Below are 25,139 nucleotides of genomic sequence, written 5' to 3'. Positions count from 1 at the left end.
AGCCCCTGGCACATAGTTTAGTCCTCCAGCCTGGCCTAACATACGTTCTGAGAATTTCCTCTGGGCAAAGCAACAAGAATACTCACTGGGGCTCAAATGGAAGATACAGGCTTACACAGGCAGTCTCATCAGTTTGATGCATTTGTTACATCACTCACTCCTAGTGTTACCTCTGTCCAGGACAAGGAGCCCAGACTGACTGCAAACTGAGTTCTCACCACTGCTTGTCCTTCTTCAACACCTGACCAGGAGGGTCTGCCCACAGCGGCCCTGAAGGCCCCAACTCCAGGCAGTGAGATCGAGAGACCAGCTGCAGCTGTGATTCCTGGGGCTATCCATTGTTATTTCAGAAGTTCCTGGCAGTCTTTCAGGGGGTGCTGTGATGAATGAGTACTTTCTTCTTCCCGACTGTCATCAAAGGCACACACCATAGAGCCCAGGGGGTGTGTGGCAAGGGGGACTCAGAGCTGGCAGTAACCAGCAGGCTCGCTATAGTCACAGAGGCAGGAAGTGAGGCACAAGGGTCTTCCGAGTGCACCCAGAATTGCAGCACCAAGCGAGAACCTGAAAACCCACCTTATAGTTCAAAATGACTCTTTCATACTCTCTGCTCACAACTTGTAGTCAGTGCTTTCTGGTGACAGCAGAGGAGATGGAAGCTGTGTCCAGATGCAGAACCTGCCTACTGTCCTGGGTTCGGATGGATGGCACACACCCCGCCTGAATGACCCCATGGTGGGCACAGTTCAGGGACTGCTTTTGATGTCATCTTTAGCTGGTATTCAACCCAGAGCATAAGAGTTCCTGTATCCTGTACGGTTTCTGATCTGAGGTACTTATCCCAGGTCTGGGGCTTCCTCATTGATCCTGAGGAAACCATCTCTCATCACCTAGGCCCACCAACACTGAACCCCTCTCCCACTATGCTCAGAATTCTTGGTGAATATAGGAAATTGGAACAAATAAAATGTCTAATATCTACTTTCTTTTCTACTTCATTGATTTTTGTTTTTGTCTGTGTTTCTTCCCTCTAATTTGCTCTGGCTTTGATACTATTTATTTTCTCATTTCTTGAGCTAGAAGCTTAATTTATTGATTTTTCTTTCCTTTTTTCTTTTTATATAAGAGATGGGGTCTTGCCATGTTGCCCAGGCTGGTCTCAAACTCCTGGGCTCAAGCAGTCCTCCCGCCTTGGCCTCCCAAGGTGTTGAAACTACAGGTGTGAGCTACTCCACCTAGCCTCTTCCCTTCTAATATACGTATTGAAGCCTATGAATTTCCCTCTGAGGCACTGCTTTAGCTGCAGCCCAGCTTGATGTCATATTTTCATATCTTCTTCTTGTTTTTAAGCTCTAAGTTCCATTCTTCTCTGGTAAACTGAAATATTCAAACACAGTCCTGAATTCAGATTTAAACTGTAAAGTTTATCTCACTTTATTCCCAGAATGACTTGGCTGTAGATTTTCTGTAAAAAAAAAATTGGAAAGAGTGAAGCTCCTGGGGAGTTTAGGGCTCCTAAATCCTACAGAAAGAGTCAAAAAGAATATTTTGATGACTCTTGCCTTTTTTGATATACAATTTCCAGTGAATTATTATTATATTATTTTGAGATGGATTTTTGCGCTTATTGCCCAGGCTGGAGTGCAATGGCACAATCTCGGCTCACTGTAACCTCCGCCTCCCGGGTTCAAGCGATTCTCATGCCTCAGGCTCCCAGGTAGCTGGGATTACAGGTGTGTCCCACCACGCCCAGATAATTTTTGCATTTTTAGTAGAGATAAGATTTTGCCATGTTGGCCAGGTTGGTCTTGAACTCCTGGCCTCAAGCAATCGACCCACCTCGGCCTTCTCAAGTGCTGGGATTACAGGCATGAGCCACTGCACCTGGCCTTTGATATACAATTTCAACTGGATAAAAATTGCAAACATGATTCCTTAAACCTAATAAATCATCCATGCAAAGACTTCCAAAGCCTGTTAAACAAGCCTTATTTTAAAAAACACATTTTAAAGTTAACAGAAAATCTGCCAACATTGCACCTAATTAGGAGTTCAGAAATAGAAACCACCTGCATGTTGCTGATCTAGACTTATTAAATTTATTTCATGTCATTGTGGTCACTTTTACAGCTGTTTAGACTTATTTTCAATCACATTACTCTTCACAGAATTCACAGAATTCATTAACTAACTAGTATGTTACATCCAAGGGTTCTTAGTAGCACATTGAAATAGAAAAGAGGCCCACGAGTTGTTGCTTGTGTGTGGAACCTGAGTCTGATTACTTAGACAGATGTCTAGAACATTATTGCTTTATTAGGCCTATTTTTAAAAATAATAAATTATTCCTAGGAAACCCACCCTGCCAGGTGCTCATTCTGCGACTGCTGTGGGTTCACTCAGAACATACCTGACTGGTGGGTGCTGAATGAACCTCCCACCCATGTACCCTGCTGCTCCGGACGCTCTGAGGGCTAGAGCAATGCCCCTCCATGCGTGTAAACATTTTCTACAGCTTGCCACTTTCCTCCCTGGTCTTGCAGCCAATGGGCTGCAGTCATACATGGGTCTCTATGTAAAACTTAAATTAGACCTAAACAACAGGGTTCAGCGAATGAGGACTAATGCTCCTATAAAAGCCACTGCCCATGCAAGGGAATACACCTGATGCAACAAAAATATCTTGAGTCTCCAACTATAAGGAATGTCTCAAAGAAAATGTCCTTGATTTAATTATGGTCCAAGGTGGCTGCTTTGCACAAGCTTCTCAGTGACATGAACTTGAAGACTTCATGGTAGATTTCATGGCTGGGGTTTCTTATTTTGTTCCATATGAGTTTCTATTTTGTGAAAAATATCTTGGAGGTTTTCGCGTGGTCCCCAAAGCTCTGGGGAACCGTGGATACCAGGGATAAGGGACGGGCTTCCTCAGGGTCACTGGCGCTCCGACCGCATTTGGGGCAGGATCCCTGAGAGTGGTGGCTGCGTCAGACTTGGGGGATGGGAGCAGATGCTGTGTGCAGAATGCAGGCTGCAGTCGGGGCCTCAGTCCAGCTTCTTGTTGTTGTCTGTGTTGTGCACAGAAGCTAAAAAGTCGATTATGAGCTTGGCTGTCTTCCTGGGTCTTTCCATCACTACTGAGTGCCCACAGTTTTCCAGAAGCTCCACCTGGCAGTTGGCAATTGACTTGGCCAACATGTCTGCCCCAGACACATCCAGCACCTGCTGGGCAAGAAAGGGAGCTGGATGATACACAAAGATTCAGACACCCACGTGTGCACTCTGTGGACAGAACTTCCACCAAGGCCTGGCAGGGGTCAGTGGGGCAGGAGGATGTGAATTTTAGGACCAAGTCCCTTTGGTGTTGGGGCTTGTGGCTGTCTGAATGGAAGTAACCATGATGCCTCCTGTTTTATTCTGCAACTCTGTGCCAGGAGTTGGGCTGATGTCAGCAATACTGAGGTAGAAAACAAACGTTCCTTGCCCTTGAGGAGGTTATGGTATGGTGGGGAAGTCAGAGAGCACAGGGGATGAGCAGGGTCGAGGGAAGACCTCGTTCCTGAGTCCCGGGAGAGCAGAAAGGGGACAGGGGAGGAGCATTCACGGATGTGGGAATGGCACAGGGTGGGAGATCATGGCGAGTGCAGGGGCCACCAAGGAGCACGGCGGCTGAGACACCAAGCACATGGGCAGTGGGGGTGGCATGGTGGGGAGAAGGGGCAGAGAGGAGGGCGCTGCTCCTACAGCCACACGGACCATGGGGAACCACAGGCTGTGTTAAGGTGAGTGACTTGATCAGGCTGGCCCTGTGGCTGGTTAGGGCAGCCCAAGCTGTAGGAAGGATGCAAGAGGGGAAGGCTAATTATCACAAGCTGGGGGTATCTCTTTATTTGTTGAAAAGGAGTTTCACTCTTTCGCCCAGGCTGGAATGAAGTGGCGTGATCTCAACTCACTGCAACCTCCGCCTCCCAGGTTCAAGTGATCTTCTGCCTCAGCCTCCCCAGTAGCTGGGATTATAGGTGCCCGCCACCATGCCCAGCTAATTTTTGTATTTCTAGTAGAGATGGGGTTTCACCACGTTGGCCAGGCTGGTCTCGAACTCCTGACCTCAGGTGATCCACCTGCCTCAGCCTCCCAAAGTGCTAGGATTACAGGCCTGAGCCACCGCACCCAGCTGGAGGTCTCTTTGAAGGTCCTCTGGGGATCCCCAGAGCTGTGTGTTTCTTGGCTCTAACCTCTGCAGATATGGGGAATGCTTTTCCAACATGAAAGCCAGAACTTTTCCAGGGCTGATCCTTTTCAAACAACTCATTTCCTCTCCTTTTCCTCTGGGTTCCCAGCTACTATGCCAATCCACCTCCATCTTTTTCCCCAACATCCTCCCTCAGAAGTGGATCCGCATTCACTCCCCTTCTCTTAGCTGCCTTTACCTTCAATTCATCCTAGACAAGAGGGCCCCTCCTCCCCATCCTTAACGGCAAAAGCAAAAGCCCCAACAAACTCAAGCACCTTCTGTGTCTTTGCTCTATTCTCACCAACTCAAATTATTAAAACCAAGATTTTCTGCCCACTGGGGAGTTAAGGTAAGACGATGCCTCAGTCAAGGAAAAGAGTCCTGCAGGGCATCCCTGGACCAGGAAAAGGAACAGCTAATGGGGAGCTTAACAGCTAATTCCAGCCAAGGAAATGGAAACCTCTGCCTTGTCACTCACTCACAGCTAAGGCTGCCACGGCAACCCACTGAGCAGGAATAACACCCAGCTACTGTGGAAACACTCAGAAGAAACGCAGATGCAGTCAATAGGTGAAAACAGCATGAAAAAGTGGAAACTCCCAACTGAGTGTCTTTTTTTGTTTTTTTGAGACAGGGTCTCGCTCTGTTGCACAGGCTGGAGTGCAGTGGCACGATCATGGCTCACTGCAGCCTTGACCTCCCGGGCTCAAGTGATCCTCCCACCTCAGTGCCCCCCAGGTAGCTGGGATGACAGGTACGCACCATCATGCCCAGGCAAAACTGAGTGTCTATCCTGGAGAGATATCAGAAACCACAACTCACAGGCAAAAATACCCATATGAGCTGCTGGCTTTGGCACTGTTTGCTGGTTAGCGTTACAAATCCATCATTCTCCATGGCCACCCAGAGGTATGTGCAACTACTGAACGACCCCCTGATGAGATATGCACATCTGTGGGAACCATTTCAGCGATTTCCTAGATAGAATATTCATATAAATGGTCAAAAACTTTTCCTGGGCTGGGTGTGGTGGCTCACACCTATAATATCAGCACTCTGGGAGGCCGAGGTGGGAAGATCTCTTGAACCCAGGAGTTCGAGACCAGCCTGGCCAACATAGTAAGACCTCATCTCTACAAAAAATAAAAAATTGCTCTCCCTCTCCCTCTCCCTCTCCCTCTCCCCACGGTCTCCCTCTCCCTCTCTTTCCAGGGTCTCCCTCTGATGCCGAGCCGAAGCTGGACTGTACTGCTGCCATCTCGGCTCACTGCAACCTCCCTGCCTGATTCTCCTGCCTCAGCCTGCCGAGTGCCTGCGATTGCAGGTGCACACTGCCACGCCTGACTGGTTTTCGTATTTTTTTGGTGGAGACGGGTTTCACTGTGTTGGCCAGGCTGGTCTCCAGCTCCTAACCGCGAGTGATCCGCCAGCCTCGGCCTCCGGAGGTGCCGGGATTGCAGACGGTGTCTGGTTCACTCAGTGCTCAATGGTGCCCAGGCTGGAGTGCAGTGGTGTGATCTCGGCTCGCTACAACCTCCACCTCCCAGCCGCCTGCCTTGGCCTCCCAAAGTGCCCAGAGTGCAGCCTCTGCCCGGCCGCCACCCCATCTAGGAAGCGAGGAGCGTCTCTGCCTGGCCGCCCATCGTCTGGGATGTGAGGAGCCCCTCTGCCTGGCTGCCCAGTCTGGAAAGTGAGGAGCGTCTCTGCCCGGCCGCCATCCCATCTAGGAAGTGAGGAGCGCCTCTTCCCGGCCGCCATCCCATCTAGGAAGTGAGGAGCGTCTCTGCCCGGCCGCCCATTGTCTGAGATGTGGAGAGCGCCTTTGCCCCGCCGGCCCGTCTGGGATGTGAGGAGCGCCTCTGCCCGGCCGCGACCCCGTCTGGGAGGTGAGAAGCGTCTCTGCCCAGCCGCCCCATCTGAGAAGGGAGGAGACCCTCCGCCCGGCAACCGCCCTGTCTGAGAAGTGAGGAGCCCCTCCGCCCGGCAGCCACCCCGTCTGGGAAGTGAGGAGCCTCTCCGCCTGGCAGCCGACCCGTCCGGGAGGGAGGTGGGGGGTCAGCCCCTGCCAGGCCAGCCGCCCCGTCCGGGAGGGAGGTGGGGGGGTCAGCCCCCCGCCCGGCCAGCCGCCCCATCCGGTAGGTGAGGGGCGCCTCTGCCCAGCCGCCCCTACTGGGAAGTGAGGAGCCCCTCTGCCCGGCCAGCCGCTCCATCCGGGAGGAAGGTGGGGGGTCAGCCCCCGCCAGGCCAGCCGCCCCGTCCGGGAGGGAGGTGGGGGGGGTCAGCCCCCCGCCCGGCCAGCCGCCCCGTCTGGGAGGTGAGGGGCGCCTCTGCCCAGCCGCCCCTACTGGGAAGTGAGGAGCCCCTCTGCCCAGCCAGCCGCCCCGTCCGGGAGGGAGGTGGGGGGGTCAGCCCCCCGCCCGGCCAGCCGCCCCGTCCGGGAGGTGAGGGGCGCCTCTGCCCGGCCGCCCCTACTGGGAAGTGAGGAGCCTCTCTGCCCGGCCAGCCGCCCCGTCCGGGAGGGAGGTGGGGATGTCAGCCCCCCGCCCGGCCAGCCGCCCCGTCCGGGAGGGAGGTGGGGGGGTCAGCCCCCCGCCCGGCCAGCCGCCTCGTCCGGGAGGTGAGGGGCGCCTCTGCCCGGCCGCCCCTACTGGGAAGTGAGGAGCCCCTCTGCCCGGCCAGCCACCCCGTCCGGGAGGGAGGTGGGGGGGTCAGCCCCCTACCCGGCCAGCCGCCCTGTCCGGGTGGTGAGGGGCGCCTCTGCCTGGCCGCCCCTACTGGGAAGTGAGGAGCCCCTCTGCCCAGCCACCACCCCGTCTGGGAGGTGTGCCCAACAGCTCATTGAGAATAGGCCATGATGACAATGGTGGTTTTGTGGAATAGAAAGGGGGGAAAGGTGGGGAAAAGATTGAGAAATCGGATGGTTGCCGTGTCTGTGTAGAAAGAGGTAGACATGGGAGACTTTTCATTTTGTTCTGTACTAAGAAAGATTCTTCTGCCTTGGGATCCTGTTGATCTGTGACCTTACCCCGCAACCCTGTGCTCTCTGAAACATGTGCTGTGTCCACTCAGGGTTAAATGGATTAAGGGCAGTGCAAGATGTGCTTTGTTAAACAGATGCCTGAAGGCAGCATGCTCGTTAAGAGTCATCACCACTCCCTAATCTCAAGTACCCAGGGACACAAACACTGCGGAAGGCCTCAGGGTCCTCTGCCTAGGAAAACCAGAGACCTTTGTTCACTTGTTTATCTGGTGACCTTCCCTCCACTATTGTCCTATGACCCTGCCAAATCCCCCTCTGTGAGAAACACCCAAGAATGATCAATAAAAAAAATAAAAAAATAAAAAAAATAAAAAATTACCCGGGTGTGGTGGCACATGCCTGTAGTCCCAGCTGCCTGGGAGGCTGAGGTGGGAGCATTGCTTGAGCTCAGGAGGTTGAGGCTGCAGTGAGCTATGATTGAGCCACTGCATTCTAGCCTGGGTGACAGAGCAAGAACCAGTCTCAGAACAAACAAACAAACAACCCCCCTGCCCAACAAAAAACAAAAATCAAAACCTTTTCCTGCATTGCTTCACACCAGGGCTAAAACTATGGTGAGGCAAATGAGGCATTTGCCTAAGGCACAAAATTTAAGTGCCAAAAAACTCATAAATTAAGAGAAAATATTTTAGTGCAGTATGTTAAAAAAAACATTAATGGAAAAAGGCACATGATGAACAAAATATCAAAATCATAAATACAGACAGGATCTGACCCTGCACCTGCATGACACATCTCTCTCATCTCACCCTTGTCTCGGGCCTGTTATGCACTATAAGGGTAGGTAGACGATAAATTGCTGGAGGGCAGGGATCCTGGCTGTCTTGGTCCCTACTGTATCCTCAGGGCCTAATACAGTGTTAGGCACATACTAGGTGCTCAATAAATGCCTGTTAACTGGCTTAAATGTGTAGTCAGTCAGTGGGTTTATCCCTTCACTAGTTGGTTTGTTCACTCAATTTCTCACTTGTTTGCTCACTCACTGTGTACTCTGGGTCTCCTGCATACCAGGCACGGTGCTGGCAGGGAGAAGGGACATAAAGAATAATAGCCTGTCTGTCTCTAGATGGCCCTCCCATTTTGATGGACTGAACATAGAGGAGCGATGCTTGAAATGAAGCATGCAGAAACCCTCTCAGGAAGGGCTGCCATGTTTGGGTGTACAGGTTGTATACAGACCAAATCCATCATTCACAAAAATGACAATGCACATGGCTCCCCCTGCAGCTGTGCAGTATAGCAGTCAGCCTACAGGGGTCCAAAGAAGAAGGAAGCTGAATTTGGCCTGGTAGGGGCAGGTGCTGTGACACCAAATGTTGATGACAGAGCAGGAAAAGAGCCAGCGAGCTTGGGAGGCAAAAGGCTGTGAAATAAAAGACTCCCTGAAGCCTCTGCTATTTGGCCTCTGTCCCAGGGACAGTCCACAAAACACATGAAGGATCTGATCACATTTATAGCAAGCCCATAGAATGTTAGGCTCTTTTTCTGGAATGAAACGGACTTCTGAGTCTGGGAAAAAAATTTGGACCATGCATTGAAGCCACCAACAGAGGCAAAGGACATGAGCAGTCTAATCTAATACCAGCTAACCTAACTTTTTTGCAACTGGAAGATCATTTTCATACATATTATTTCATTTGAGCCTCAAAATAACCCTGGTACTAGAAGTTTCAGAAACCCTTAATTTAGAGGGGCTGAGTTACTTGCTCAAGGTCATGCATGGGCTGACCAAGGACAAAAGTAGGGCTGGAACATAGACTTTCAGAATCCAAGGCCAGTGCCCTTGCTTCTGCGCTGTCTCCACAGGAAGATGGGTTACAGCCTCTCCCTGTTGGCTCCTGAGAGCCCCAAATCACCTTTGGGGTTTTTAGAACAACAGAAGGCCTTCGCTGCTCAGGCTCTGATTCCTGATCAAATGACTCTCTGCTGGCATAGCCCAGGGCACAAACAAAGCTTCTTTCAGTCCCTTGGCGCTGCAGAAGAGAGCACATGAGATCCCCTTCTCTCCACGTCCACAAAACCATGCTGTGAATCCTCACCATGCCTGGCTCATCTAAGACACCATTGCCTCTTATTCTGCGTACACGCCATGGGCACAGCCTGGCTGCTCCTCCCCACTCTCTCCTGCCTGGGTCATTCATGCACTTGTGGGTCTTTGTGGCCACAGTGTGACCTCCTGCCAGTTAAAAATTGATGCATTTAGGTAAAGGGTATGCAGGTATACTCTGTATTCTTTTTTATTTTTATTTTTTTGAGATAGGATCCCGCCCTGTGGCCCAGGCTGGTGTGCAGTGAAGCAATCACGGCTCACTGCCACCTCCATGTCCTGGACTCAAGTGATCCTCCTGCCTCACCCTCCAGAGTAGCTGGGACTACAGATGCATACCACCATGCTTGGCTACTTTTTTAAAAATTTATTTTTTATAGAGATGGGATCTCACTATGCTGCCCAGGTTGGTCTCAAACTCCTGGGCTCAAGCAATCCTCCTGCCTTAGCCTCCCAAAGTGCTGGCATTATAGGCGTAAGCCACCATGCCTGGCCTTCTTTCAAATTTTCTGTAAGTTTGAAATTATTTCAAGATAAAATTTTTTTAAGAATAGAAGGAATAGATTTGTTTGGGCTGATATAAAATGATTTCCAAGATACCTACTTATATATACATATACATATATATATATATATACACACACACACACACACACACACACACACATATATGATCTTATATATCTTATATGCACACCTATATATATCTAAGCTTTCAAACATGCATCTTAGATGCCAGTGTATCTAGCATGTTTGAAAGCTCAGATATGTATAGGTATGCATATATATACACTATACGTGTGCTTAGAATAGGAGTAGGCAAACAATGGCTCACTGCCCGTTTTTATAAATAAAGGTTCACTGGAAAAAGCCATGCCATTTGTTTACATATTGCCTATGGCTGCTTTTATACTATAAGGTCACAGTTACTCAACTGTGTCCAGGTGTGACAGAGACTGGACCACAAGGCTGAAAATGTTTACCATCTGGCCCTTTACAGAAAACATTTGCTAACTTCTGGCTTAAAAAATTTAGGCCAAGCATGTTGGCTCATGCTTGTAATCCCAGCACTTTGGGAGGCTAAGGAAGGTGGACTGCTTGAAGTCAGGAGCTCAAGACCAGCCTGGCCAAAATGGTGAAACCCCGTCTCTACTAAAAAAAATACAAAAATTGCCAGGTGTGGTGGCTCACGCCTGTAATCCCAACACTTTGGGAGGCTGAGGCCGGCAGATCATGACGTCAGGAGATCGAGACCATCCTGGCTAACATGGTGAAACCCCGTCTCTACTAAAAATACAAAAAATTAGCTGGGCATGGTGGCGGGTGCCTGTAGTCCCAGCTACTTGAGAGGCTGAGGCAGGAGAATGGCGTGAACCCAGGAGGCAGAGCTTGCAGTGAGCCGAGATTGTGCCACTGCACTCCAGCCTGGGTAACAGAGCAAGACTTCGTCTAAAAAAAAAAAAACAAAAGAACAAAAAACAAAAATTAGGTGAGCATGGTGGAGGGCACCTGTAATCCCAGCTACTTGGGAGGCTGAGGCAGGAGAATCGCTTGAACCTGGGAGGCAGAAGTTGCAGTGAGCCAAGATTGGGCCACTGCACTCCAGCCTGGGTGACAGAGCAAGACTCCGTCTCAAACGAAAAAAAGAAAAGAAATATATTCAAGATAGTAAGATAAGAGTTGCCTCATGGTAATGGAGAATGGAATTTGGGATGCGAAAAAGAAAAGTTTTCATTATAAACCTTTTGGTGTTCTTTGAAGATCTTTTTATACCATGTGACTACATGGCTTTGATAAAAACAATTTTTGAAAATGATTTAAAATTGTCTTTCCTTTTACCAGACCAAATGTTGTTTCTCTCCACTCCCAGAACTCTGCCCACTGTCAACACTGGCACCCAACACAGGTGCCTTCCCCCTCTTCCTGACAGCAGCGATCAGCTCACTCCATAAATAACCACTTGTTCTTCCTCAAGGACGTTTTTCCTCAGAGGCCCTGGTGACCAGCACAGACTGCCGCGGGGATGTGTTACATACCTGGTCTTGTTTCCCCCAGATGATCTGCGTCGGAACCTTGATCTTGTCCATGTTCTGATGGAGAGAGTATCTGGACTTCTCACTGACGATTTCCAAAAACACTTGTCAGAAAAGGAAAACAAAGTGAGTATGTGCTGGACTGTGCCTGTGGCACCACCGCAGAATCAAGGGATAGTCACCAGATCCAGGCCACCACTTCCTCTCTTCAGGGGCCCAAAGAGACATTCAAAGTGTCAGAGATTTAAGAAATAAAAGCCATCCATCCACAGAGCTTCACTTGTAACAAGCTCCAAGCTGAAAGTAGGGCTACTTACACTTTCGGTAGAAGTTGTTATGAGGGATGCGGACATCGACAAGGCCTTGCAGGATCTAAGGATAAATAACCCAAAGTTAGAGAGCAAGAGAAGATTCATTTCCTCAGGCCTCTCACAGCTCTGGGACAATGAATGGGAATGAGGTCCAGCAATTTATTGCACTGTCAAGGTCTTTAGAGCCTGGTCCTCTGAATTCCCATGATGCAGCACACAGTCTAATGGGGAGTTAGGCTTCTAAGAAGCTTTTTATTATTATTATTATTATAAAGGAACTTGGGTAATATCGTGAAACTGGAGGTGCCCTACAGCATGTTAAATACACCTGAGATGGCCTGACAGCAACTTTAGCTTGAGAGATTCTCTGCTTCACTTAAGACATAATCAGGATGGGCCGGGCATGGTGGCTCATGCCTGTAATCCCAGCACTTCAGGAGGCCAAGGCGGGCAGATCACTTGAGGCCAGGAGTTCAAGACCAGCCTGGCCAAATGGTGAAACCCCCATCTCTACTAAAAAGACAAAAACTAGCAGGATGTGATGGTGCAGGCCTGTAATCCCATCTACTCGGGAGGCTGAGGCAGGAGAATCACTTGAACCCAGGAGGCGGAGGTTGCAGTGAGCTGAGATTGCGCCACTGCACTCCAACCTGGGCGACAGTGAGACTCTATCTCAAAAAAAAAAAAAAGACATAATGAGGATGACCATAATATCAAGTAATTCGCCAGTAATATCCAAACGCAGAACAAGTTCCATTAAAAAAATTAAGCCACTGGGGGATGATAGGTCTATTAAACAACAAAGAAATAAACTATTGAAAAGATTCTGGGGAGGGTTCCACAGTCCCACTGGGAGGGTTCAACAGCCCTTTGTTTATCATTTGACACTGTCTTTGCCTTCCCTGCTGAGGGCTGGTGAGGGCTGCAGCCAATGTGGACAGGCCACATCTTCTGGACCTGGGCTACTGACCCAAAGAGGTAGTGGTGGCTGGAAGGAACACAGTTCTTCTCTTCCTCCTGCCTCAGGACTCCTGAGGTAGAGTACAGGGTTCACATTAGTGGCTGTACTCCTCTACTCCTCTCCTCTACCTGCAAACAGGTCTGAACCCTTTAATTACACTCTCTCAGGAGTCCTGTGCACTGACTGAAAGTGGGGAAGAACCAGCCATGGCTGCTATGGACTAAACCAACCCTCTGGAGCATCACTAGACTCTAACTCATTCAGCCTGGACATGAGGACAATGACAATTTGTTGAATAACAACATTGTGCTCAGCATCAGAGATTTTCTTTGTTCAGCTATCCACCTGTACCCACATATCTATTCATCTTGTGTCCATCCATCCTCCACCTCTGCTCAATGCAGCCATCCATCCTGAACCACATATGCATTTGTCTACCTATCTATCCTGTATTCATCAATCCATCCAACCTCCATCTCTGCATTAACCAGATATCCTCCCATCCATCCATCCATCCAACCATTCAGCCATCTATCCATCCTGCAGACCTAAATCATCTGTGCACTGGCACATCAATCAATTCATGCAAAAATCTATCCTGCATCTACCCACCCATCCATTGTCCATCCCTGCATTATCCAGGCATCCTCTCATCCATCAATCCATCCAATCTATACCTAGGACCTACTTCATGCAAGCACTGTGCTAAAGTCTGGGGATAGAACAGCCAATTAAGACAAAGTCCCTAGTGGAAGACACAGACGTGCAATCACAACACAATATGACATGGTGGGCTGAGTGTGCAGGTGCTCCTTCTCTCCTAGGAAGGAAAGACTTTTGGAGCTGCCATTTATTTTTCTCTTGGTGTTTTCATATCCCTGACAACCCAAAACATGGAGTTTTCTAAAACATCATTTGGCCACTCTATTCTGGGAAGAGATCAGTGCTGGGAGAAAGGAATGCTACTTCATGGCTAAAAAGGGATTTCAGGGGTGGAACATGCCACAGCATCAGATTCTGGGTGTTTCCTGAGGGACAGGCCGTATCTATTAACTGAGCCATGTTCACAACTTCTGAATGGGATCTATTCCCTCAAGTCTTAGGAGGACCTGCCCACCTCCAGGCAGGGTCCAGCTCCTACAACAGAGGGAGATAATTTGGGGTTATGAAGCCTCAGCCATGGACTCTCCTCTCTTGGTTCTTCACACCATTTCCCTAGATGACTTCATTCAGTCCCATAACCTTCAATATTAGCGTCTGCTGATGGCTCCAGTGGTACAGCTTCAGGCCAGACTTCCCTCAGCTACACCTTGACCTCTGCACTTGGAGGCCTCACAGGCAACCTGAACTTAACACATGAAAAATGGAGTCCTTGGCATATTCCCCAAGCCTGCCCTTCTACTCTTCAGAATATACTACCTCTGTTTTTGTTTTTGTTGTTGTTTTTTTGAGACAGGGTCTCACTCTGTTGCCCAGGATGGAGTGCAGTGGCATGATCTTGGCTCACTGCAGCCTCTGCCTCCTGGGCTCAGGTGATCCTCTCACCTCAGCCTCCCGAGTAGCTGGATCTACAGGCACGCACCACCACACTTGGCTAATTAAAAAAATTTTTTTTTGTAGAGATGGGGCTTCACCACGTTGCCCAGGCTGGTCTCGAACTCCTGCATTTACACAATCCACCCGCCTTGGCCTCCCAAAGTGCTGGGAATACAGGTGCAAGCCACCATGCCCAGCCAGGACCTCAAGTGCTGGAAGTCACCTGGGACTCCTCCCCTTTCCCCAGCCCCCATTTCCAATTTGCCTGTACATCCTGTCCATTCTTTCTCAAATCTCATCTCCATTGCTACCATCCTAGTCTACACCACCATCATCTCCAAGGCACAATAGTTCCCAAATGGGTTCCTCTGTTCCATTTGTGCTCTCCTACAATCTCTCAGTGGTCCTATTATACTTAGAAAAACTCCTGGCTCCTTTCCGTACCTATAAGGTCCTACAGGATCTAGTCCAGCATTTTTCAAAGTGGTTCTTGGGAGTCTAGGAGGTCAAACTACTTTCCTAATACTCAATGTTACTTGCCTCTTCACTTACATTCTCTCAAAAGTACACTGTTTTTCAGAGCCTATAAAATGTGGGATGATGTCCTTGCTCTTGGCTACTGGAATAAGTGCTTGTACATTCATTGCATTTTGGAATCTTCTGAGTTTTCATTTATTTTCTTTTATTTGTATTTAAATAGAGATGGGGTCTCGCTACGTTGACCAGGCTGGTCTTGAACTCCTAGTCTCAAGCAATCCTCCCATCTTGGCCTCCCAAAGTGCTAGGATTACAGGCATGAACCACCGCACCCGGCCTGAGTTTTAATTTCTAATATGGTAAACATTAATAATAAATATAACCCCTATAAATAAAAACCCTTTGGGTTCCTCAACAATTTTTAAGAGTATAACGAGGATAGGTTCCAAGATGGCCGAATAGGAACAGCTCCGGTCTGCGGCATCCAGCGTGATCAACGCAGAAGGCGGGTGATTTCTGCATTTCCAATTAACGTACCTGGTTCATCTCACTGGGACTGGTTGGACAGTGGGTGCAGCCCACAGAGGGCGAGCTGAAGCAGGGCAGGCATCGCCTCACCTGGGAAGTGCAAGGGGTCGGGGGATTTCCCTTTCCTAGCCAGGGAAGCCATGACAGACTGTACCTGGAAAACTGGGACACTCCTGCCCAAATACTGCACTTTTCCCAAGGTCTTAGCAACTGGCAGACAAGAAGATTCTCTCCCGTGCCTGGCTCGGTGGGTCCCAGGCCCACAGAGCCTTGCTCCCTGCTAGCACAGCAGTCTGAGATTGAACTGCAAGGCGGCAGCCTGGCTGGGGGAGGGGCGTCTGCCATTGCTGAGGCTTAAGTAGGTAAACAAAGTGGCCTGGAAGCTCGAACTCGGCAAAGCCCACCACAGCTCAGCAAGGCCAGCAGCCTCTAGACTCCACCTGTGTGGGCAGGGCTTAGCTGAACAAAAGGCAGCAGGCAATTTCTGCAGACTTAAATGTCCCTGTCTGACAGCGCTGAAGAGAGCAGTTGTTCTCCCAGCACAGCATTTGAGCTCTGAGACAGACAGACTGCCTCCTCAAGTGGGTCCCTGACCCTCGTGTAGCCTAACTGGGAGACACCTCCCAGTAGGGGCTGATTGACACCTCATACGGCCGGGTGCCCCTCTGAGACAAAGCTTCCAGAGGAAGGATCAGGCAGCAATATTTGCTGTTCTGCAGACTCCGCTGGTGATACCCAGGCAAACAGGGTCTGGAGCGGACCTCCAGCAAACTCCAACAGACCTGCAGCTGAGGGACCTGATTGTTATAAGGAAAACTAACAAACAGAAAGGAATAGCATCAACATTAACAAAAAGGACATCTACACCAAAATCCCATCTGTAGGTCACCAACATAAAAGACCAAAGGTAGATACAACCACAAAGATGGGGAGAAACCAGAGCAGAAAAGCTGAAAATTCTAAAAACCAGAGCGCCTCTTCTCCTCCAAATGATTGCAGCTCCTCGCCAGCAACGGAACAAAGCTGGATGGAAAATGACTTTGCTGAGCTGACAGAAGTAGGCTTCAGAAGGTCAGTAATAACAAACTTCTCCGTGCTAAAGGAGCATGTTTGAACCCATTATAAGGAAGCTAAAAACCTTGAAAAAAGGTTAGACAAATGGCTAACTAGAATAAACAGTGTAGAGAAGACCTTAAATGACCCGATGGAGCTGAAAACCATGGCACGAGAACTTCATGATGCATGCACAAGCTTCAATAGCCAATTTGATGAAGTGAAAGAAAGGGTATCCGTGATTGAAGATAAAATTAATAAAATAAAGTGAGAAGACAAGGTTAGAGAAAAAAAAGTAAAAAGAAACAAAAAAAGCTTCCAAGAAATACGGGACTATGTGAAAATACCAAATCTATGTTTGACTGATGTACCTGGAAATGATGGGAAGAATGGAACCAAGTTGGAAAACACTCTTCAGGATATTATCCAGGAGAACTTCCCCAACCTAGCAAGGCAGGCCAACATTCAAATTCAGGAAATACACAGAACACCATAAAGATACTACTCGAGAATAGCAACCCCAAGACACATAATTGTCAGATTCAGCAAGGTTGAAATGAAGGAAAAAGTGTTAAGGGCAGCCAGAGAGAAAGGTCAGGTACCCACAAAGGGAAGCCCATCAGACTAACAGCGGATCTCTTGGCAGAAACCCTACAAGCCAGAAGAGACTGCGGGCTAATATTCAACATTCTTAAAGAAAAGAATTTTCAACCCAGAATTTCATATCCAGCCAAACTAAGCTTCATAAGTGAGGGAGAAATAAAATCCTTTACAGACAAGCAAACGCTGAGAGATTCTGTCACCACCAGGCCTGTCTTACAAGAGCTCCTGAAGGAAGCACTAAACATGGAAAGGAACAACCGGTATGAGCCACTGCAAAAACATGCCAAATTGTAAAGATCATTGACACTATGAAGAAACTGCATCAATAATGGGCAAAATAACCAGCTAACATCATAATGACAGGATCAAATTCACACATAACAATATTAACCTTAAATGTAAATGGGCTAAATGCCCCAATTAAAAGACACAGACTGGCAAATTGGACAAGACCCATCAGTGTGCTATATTCAGGAGACCCATCTCACATGCAGAGACACACATAGGCTCAAAATAAAGGGATGGGGGAAGATCTACTAAGCAAACGGAAAGCAAAAAAAAAGCAGGGTTGCAATCCTAGTCTCTGATAAAACAGACTTTAAACCAACAAAGATCAAAAGAGACAAAGAAGGCCATTACATAATGGTAAAGGGATCAATTCAACAAGAGCTAACTATCCTAAATATATATGCACCCAATACAGGAGCACCCAGATTCATAAAGCAAGCTCTTAGAGACCTACAAAGAGACTTAGACTCCCACACAATAATAATGGGAGACTTTAACACCCCACTGTCAATACTAGACAGATCAATGAGACAGAAGGTTAACAAGGATATCCAGGACTTGAACTCAGCTCTGCACCAAGCAGACCTAATAGACATCTACATAACTCTCCACCCCAAATCAACAGAATATACATTCTTCTTAGCACCACATCACACTTATTCTAAAATTGACCACATAATTGGAAGTAAAGCACTCCTCAGCAAATGTAAAAGAACAGAAATCACAACAAACTGTCTCTCAGACCACAGTGCGATCAAATTAGAGCTCAGGATTAAGAAACTCACTCAAAATTGCACAACTACATGGAAACTGAACAACCTGTTCCTTAATGACTACTGGGTAAATATCGAAATGAAGGCAGAAATAAAGATGTTCTTTGAAACCAATGAGAACAAAGATACAATGTACCAGGATCTCTGGGACACATTTAAAGCAGTGTGTAGAGGGAAATTTATAGCACTAAATGCCCACAAGAGAAAGCAAGAAAGATCTAAAATTGACACCCTAACATCACAATTAAAAGAACTAGAGAAGCAAGGGCAAACACATTCAAAAGCCAGCAGAAGGCAAGAAATAACTAAGATCAGAACAGAACTGAAAGAGATAGAGACACAAAAAACCCTTCAAAAAATCAACGAATCCAGGAGCTGGTTTTTTGAAAAGATCAACAAAATTGACAGACCACTGGCAAGACTAATAAAGAAGAAAAGAGAGAAGAATCAAATAGACACAATAAAAAATGATAAAGGGGATATCACCACCAATCCCACAGAAATACAAACTACCATCAGAGAATACTATAAACACCTCTACGCAAATTAACTAGAAAATCTAGAAGAAATGGATAAATCCTGGACACATACACCCTCCCAAGACTAAACCAGGAAGAAGTTGAATCTCTGAATAGACTAATAACAGGCTCTGAAATTGAGGCAATAATTAATGGCTTACCAACCAAAAAAAGTCCAGGACCAGACAGATTTACAGGCGAATTCTACCAGAGGTACAAAGAGGAGCTGGTACCATTCCTTTGGAAACGATTCCAATCAATAAAGAGGGAATCCTCCCTAACTCATTTTATGAGGCCTGCATCATCCTGATGCCAAAGCCTGGCAGAGACACAACAAAAAAAGAGAATTTTAGACCAATATTCCAGATGAACATCGATGTGAAAATCCTCAATAAAATACTGGCAAACCGAATCCAGCAGCAGAAAGTTTATCCACCACGATCAAGTCGGCTTCATCCCTGAGATGTAAGGCTGGTTCAACATACACAAATCAATAAATGTAATCCATCACATAAATAGAACGAATGACAAACACCACATGATTATCTCAATAGTTGCAGAAAAGGCCTTTGACAAAATTCAACACCCCTTCATGCTAAAAACTCTCAATAAACTAGGTATTCATGGAATATATCTCAAAATAATAAGAGCTATTTATGACAAACCCACAGCCAATATCATACTGAATGGGCAAAAACTGGAAGCATTCCCTTTGAAAACTGGAACAAGACAAGGATGCCCTCTCTCACCACTCCTATTCAATATAGTGTTGGAAGTTCTGCCCAGTGCAATCAGGCAAGAGAAATAAATAAAGGATATTCAGTTAGGAAAAGAGGAAGTCAAATTGTCCATTTACAGATGACATGATTGTATATTTAGAAAATCCCATCGTCTCAGCCCCGAATCTCCTTAAGCTGATAAGCAACTTCAGCAAAGTCTCAGGATACAAAATCAATGTGCAAAAATCACAAGCATTCCTATACAACAATAACAAACAGAGAGCCAGATCATGAGTGAACTCCCATTCACAATTGCTACAAAGAGAATAAAATACCTAGGAATCCAACTTACAAGGGATGTGAAGGACCTCTTCAAGGAGAACTACAAACCACTGCTCAACGAAATAAAAGAGGACGCTAACAAATGGAACAACATTCCATGCTCATGGATAGTAAGAGTCAATATCATGAAAATGGCCATACCGCCCAAGGTAATTTACAGATTCAATGCCATCCCCATCAAGCTACCAATGACTTTCTTCACAGAATTGGAAAAAAACTACTTTAAAGTTCATATGGAACCAAAAAAGAGCCTGCATTGCCAAGACAATTCTAAGCAAAAAGAACAAAGCTGGAAGCACCAAGCTACCTGACTTCAAACTATACTACAAGGCTACAGTAATCAAAACAGCATGGTACTGGTACAAAAACAGATATATAGACAAATGGAACAGAACAGAGGCCTCAGAAATAACACCACACATCTATAACCATCTGATCTTTGACAAACCTGACAAAAACAAGAAATGGGAAAGGATTCCCTATTTAACAAATGGTGCTGGGAAAACTGGCTAGCCATATGTAGAAAGCTGAAACTGGATCCTTTCCTTACACCTTATACAAAAATTAATTCAAGATGGATTAAAGACTTAAATGTTAGACCTAAAACCATAAAAACCCTAGAAGAAAACCTAGGCAATACCATACAGGAAACAGGCATGGGCAAGGACTTCATGACTAAAACACCAAAAGCAATGGCAACAAAAGCCAAAATAGACGAATGGGATCTAATTAAACTAAAGAGCTTCTGCACAGCAAAAGAAACTGCCATCAGAGTGAACAGGCAACCTACAGAATGGGAGAAAATTTTTGCAATCTACCCATCTGACAAAGGGCTAATATCCAGAATCCACAAAGAACTCAAACAAATTTATCAGAAAAAAAAACAACCCCATCAAAAAGTGGGCAAAGGATATGAACAGACACTTCTCAAAAGAAGACATCTATGCAGCCAACAGACACATGAAAAACTGCTCATCATCACTGGTCATCAGAGAAATGCAAATCAAAACCACAATAAGATACCATCTCACACCAGTTAGAATGGCAATCATTAAAAAGTCAGGAAACAACAGATGCTGGAGAGGATGTGGAGAAATAGGAACGCTTTTACACTGTTGGTGGGAGTGTAAAGTAGTTCAACCATTGTGGAAGACAGTGTGGCGATTCCTCAAGGATCTAGAACTAGAAATACCATTTGACCCAGCAATCCCATTACTAGGTATATACCCTAAGAATTATAAATCATGCTACTATAAAGACACATGTACACGTATGTTTATTGCAGCACTATTCACAGCAGCAAAGACTTGGAACCAACCCAAATGTCTATCAATGGTAGACTGGATTAAGAAAATGTGACACATACAGACCATGGAATACTACGCAGCCATAAAAAGGATGAGTTCATGTCCTTTACAGGGACATGGATGAAGCTGGAAACCATCATTCTCAGCAAACTATCACAAGGAAAGAAAACCAAACACCACATGTTCTCACTCATAGGTGGGAACTGAACAATTAGAACACTTGGACACCAGGCAGGGGGTAGGGGGCTGGGGGAAGGATAGCATTAGGAGAAATACCTAACGTGAATGGTGAGTTGATGGGTGCAGCAAACCAACATGGCACATGCATACTTATGTATGAAACCTGCAATCTGTGCACATGCACCCTAGAACTTAAAGTATATTTAAAAAATAAAAAAGAGGATAAGGGGTCCTAGCCAGGTGAGGTGGCTCAAGCCTGTAATCCCAGCACTTTGGGAGGCTGAGGTGGACGGATCACGGGGTCAGGAGTTCGAGACCAGCCTGACCAACATGGTGAAACCCCATCTCTACTAAAAATGAAAAATTAGCCAGGCGTGGTGGCGCACACCTATAATCCCAGCTACTCAGGAGGCTGAGGCAGAAGAATCGCTTGAACCTGGGAGGCAGAGGTTGCAGTGAGCCGAGATCATGCTACTGCACTCCAGCCTAGGTGACAGAGTGAGACTCTGTCTGGAAAAAAAAAAAAAAAAGAGTATAAGGGGTCCTGAGATTTTTTTTTTTTCAATTGAGTATCTCTGATTTAGCCCCTGCCTCCCTTTCTAACTCCATCTTCACCATTCTCTTATTCTTGGGGCTCCAGCTACCCTGGCTTCCTTTGTCTTGAATATGTATGTTTTTCCACCTCTGCATATGCTGTCCCTAGAAGAGGCTTATCAAAGCCACCCCTGCCTCCCCGTATTCAATCACTACACCATCTTCATTTCTGCTATAAAACTCATGACCACTGGTAGTTCATTGTTTACTTGTTATTGTCTGCCTCCCCCACTGGACTGTGTCTGCCCAGGGACCTTCTTGTCTTTATTGATCACTGTACCAGCACAGTGCCCAGCGTGTTGCAGGCACTGCAGAGACACTTGCTGAATATATGCAGAAGAGGACAAGAAGTAGTCAATGAGTAGGTGAAGGAGGGAATACGTGCAGGAAGCTGGTACTCGCCCCCGGGCCTCTGGGGAGGGTAGTTGTGTCGCTGCTGCAACCACGTTACCTGCTGGGGCACCTTGAAGCGGACATAGGAGCAGAGCTGAAGCATTTCACTCATCTCTTCTGGGGTAGACGGGATCAAGGGAATCTTCTCCACGGCGGCAGAGCCCTGCAGTTCTTTGAGCCGTTGTACAAATTGATTGTCAGTTGAGTACTGCAGGCCTGTGGGATTCAAACCCAAATGGCTTGATGATACATCCACCTTCTTACCAATCCCATTTTATATAGGGAACTTCTGACAGCAGCCCAGAGTTAATATATTTCAGGTTTATTTCATGAGTAGATTTCTTTTTTGTTGGTACTGCCATCCTTGCTCAAATCAAAACCACACTGAGAAACACACAAAAAAATCCTTCCACATATTTCAGGGACTGGTCACTCACACTGTAGTCCATGGACCAGGAGCATCAAAAGCCCACAAGAAATGCAGACGCTGCTCCTCCCTGAGCCTCTTGAACCAGAATTTGCCTTCTTACAAGTTGCCAGGGGATTCATATGTATGATAGAATTTAAGGAGGGTTAGCCTAGAAGACAACTTGCCTAAGCATATCTGAGTGTTGACAGGAAATGTGAGGAAATACATGACCGGAAGAAAACATAGGGCTGGCATGAATGACACTCCTTCCCTTGGCCTGGACCCACGTGGTACTCTCTTATTTGGGGTCAATGATAAAACACAGGGGGACTGGGAGTCTTCCCAGCTGTCCCTTGCTTTAGGGCAGCAACCCTGCTGCCTTCTCCACAGTTGCTCTTCCTCTAGGAGAGCAAAATTGAGATTGCTCATTATCTCCCATCACCTCAGGGCACGACACGAGAGTCCACAGAAGCTGATGCTATGTATGCAAGAGGGCAAAACTAATTTTCACTTCCAGCATGGAGCAAATTTCTAGGCATTTAGCTTAGCCAAATAATTAGATTTTTTTTTCTTTTTTTACTTTAAGTTCTGGGATACATGGGCAGAACGTGCAGGTTTGTTACATAGGTATACATGTGCCACGGTGGTTTGCTGCACCTATCAACCCGTCATCTAGGTTTTAAGTCCCTCATGCATTCGGCATTTGTCCTAATGCTCTCCCTCCCTGTGACCTCCACCCTCTGACAGGCCCCAGTGTGTGATGTTCCCCTTTCTGTGTCCATGTCTTCTCACTGTTCAACTCGCACTTATGAGTGAGAACATGCGGTGTTTGGTTTTCTGTTCCTGTGTTAGTTTGCTGAGAATGATGCTTCCAGCTTCATCCATGTCCTTGCAAAGGACATGAAATCATTCTTTTTTATGGCTGCATAGTATTCCATGGTGTATATGTGCCACATTTTCTTTATCCAGTTTATCATTGGTGGGCATTTGGGTTAGTTCCAAGTCTTTGCTATCGTAAATAGTGCTGCAATAAACATATGTGTGAATGTTAGATTTTTTTTTAATTTTATATTTTTGCAGAGATGGGGTCTCCCTTAGGCTGGTCTTGAACTCCTGGCCTCAAGCAATCCTCCTCTCTTAGCCTCCCAAAGTGTTGGGATTACAGGTGTGAGCTACCTCACCCAGCAAAATCTAGAAAAGAGCTAGATTTTATAATGAAAGGCAGTAGCATCAATAATATTGGTCGTGATGCAGAAACCCACGCTTTGCAAATCTATGTCCAGCAAACCCTTTAAATCTAACATGGGTATGATGTATGGCTTTCACGATGCCATGAAGCAGATGACATTATCTATTTCCCCTCTCTTTAAAACTAAACCTAGGTTAGATGTCATGTGGTACATCCTGGACTGGATCCCAGAACAGAAAAAGGACATGAGTTGAAAAACTAAATGAAATCCAAATAAAGCCTGGAATTTAGTTAACAGTAATATACTAATGTTGGTTTCTTAGTTGTGAAAAAATTTACTGTGGTAATGTGAGCTATTAATGGGGAAACTGAGTATAGGTTATATGGGGCGCTCTATAATATCTCTGCAATTTTTCTGTAAATTAAAAATTATTTCAAAATTTTTAGAAAGTTTATTTTAAAACTCTTGGTAGGATATAATCCTGAATTTATTTCTACTTTTTAGTTTTCACATACAAACTTAATTTTAAATTTCCAGTTGAAATTCGGATGTCAATTTTTTCTCTGAGCAAATGAACCTATACTTGAAAAAGCCAGTTAGATTTTACTTCCTGTAAGTGATTTAAAATCTAAAAACCTTCCATAGATGCTGTTCCTTCAATTCTCAAACTTATTATTATAAGATCAAATTATTTCAGATATGCTACTTGAAAAAAGAGAGGAGAAGACCCTTTGGTGTCTTCTCTTCGATTTCAATGTCCTCAACATATCGAAAATGATTAGCTTTCAGAGTGGCAGAAGGATTTTAAAGGTCAATTTAGTTAAGTTTCAGTAAAAGTCATTAAATGTTCAATTCATGGCTGGATTCTAGTTGAATCATACAGAGGAAGTAGAAGATATGAGTCATAAAAAGGAGGCAGTAAATATGCAAGGACTTCCAAACATCACAGCTTGGGTTCTGGAGTCAGGCAGCCTGGGCTCTGTTCCTACTGTGGTTTTGGCACTAATGTAATTTCTCTGTGCCTCAACGTTCCCATTTATAAAATGGGCATAATATCTTGACCTGCATGGTAACTGCATACGTAAAAAGTCATTGAGATGCACATTTAAATTTAGACAATTTACTATGTGTAAATGATACCCCAATAAAGCACCAAAGGGAGAGGGAGAGAGAGGCCGGGTGCGGTGGCTCACGCCTATTCCCAGCACTTTGGGAGGTGGAGGCGGGCAGATCACTTGAGGCCAGGAGTTCAAGGGACTCAGGCCAACAGGATCCTAGCCAACAGGATTCAAGTTTGCCTAGCCAACATTGCGAAACTCCACCTCTACTGAAAATGCAAAAAATTAGCTGGGCATGGTGGCACACACCTGTAATCTCAGCTACTTGGGTGGCTGAGGCACAAGAATTGCTTGAACCTGGGAAGTCAAGGCTGCAGTGAGCCATGATTGCACCACTGCACTCCAGTCTGAGCAACAGACTGTCTCAAAAAAAAAAAAAAAAAAAAAAAACAGAGAGAGGGGGAGATAGAGGAGAGAAAAAATATGATTTTTATCTATTATATATTATAAATACAACTCTAAAGACTTATAGAAGAAAAACAAAT

The 25,139-nt window shown here is 46.3% G+C and overlaps 1 protein-coding gene across 6 annotated transcripts in view, besides 1 other annotated feature; it reads right to left on the bottom strand.

Annotated features, from left to right (window-relative positions):
* Positions 1 to 2,076: 2,076 nt before the first annotated feature.
* Positions 2,077 to 25,139, bottom strand: part of ABHD6 (abhydrolase domain containing 6, acylglycerol lipase) — a 56,943-nt gene continuing 33,880 nt past the window's right edge. For 3 of the 6 annotated variants that reach the window (XM_005265334.5, XM_005265335.4, XM_047448629.1), the window contains 4 exons: positions 21,996 to 22,153; positions 11,672 to 11,726; positions 11,358 to 11,458; positions 2,077 to 3,225 (listed from right to left, as the gene is read on the bottom strand). In XM_005265334.5, coding sequence (XP_005265391.1) covers positions 3,046 to 3,225; positions 11,358 to 11,458; positions 11,672 to 11,726; positions 21,996 to 22,153 — 494 coding nt within the window. In that variant the 3' untranslated portion in view covers positions 2,077 to 3,045. The remainder of the gene's footprint in view (positions 3,226 to 11,357; positions 11,459 to 11,671; positions 11,727 to 21,995; positions 22,154 to 25,139) is intronic. The other 3 variants (NM_001320126.2, NM_020676.7, XM_047448630.1) reach the window with 1 other exon arrangement.
* Positions 5,391 to 6,074: an enhancer, noted in NCBI's record as "H3K27ac hESC enhancer chr3:58276464-58277147 (GRCh37/hg19 assembly coordinates)". NCBI's record gives its function as "activates a minimal SCP1, AML or CMV promoter by ChIP-STARR-seq in naive H9 embryonic stem cells {active_cell/tissue: H9 hESC(naive)}" and the evidence as "EXISTENCE:reporter gene assay evidence [ECO:0000049][PMID:30033119]".

Source organism: Homo sapiens, chromosome 3 (genome assembly GCF_000001405.40).
Source record: "Homo sapiens chromosome 3, GRCh38.p14 Primary Assembly".
Lineage (NCBI taxonomy): Eukaryota > Metazoa > Chordata > Mammalia > Primates > Hominidae > Homo > Homo sapiens.
The sequence above is the reverse complement of the archived record's forward strand: the minus strand, read 5'-3'. Positions and strand labels throughout refer to the sequence as shown.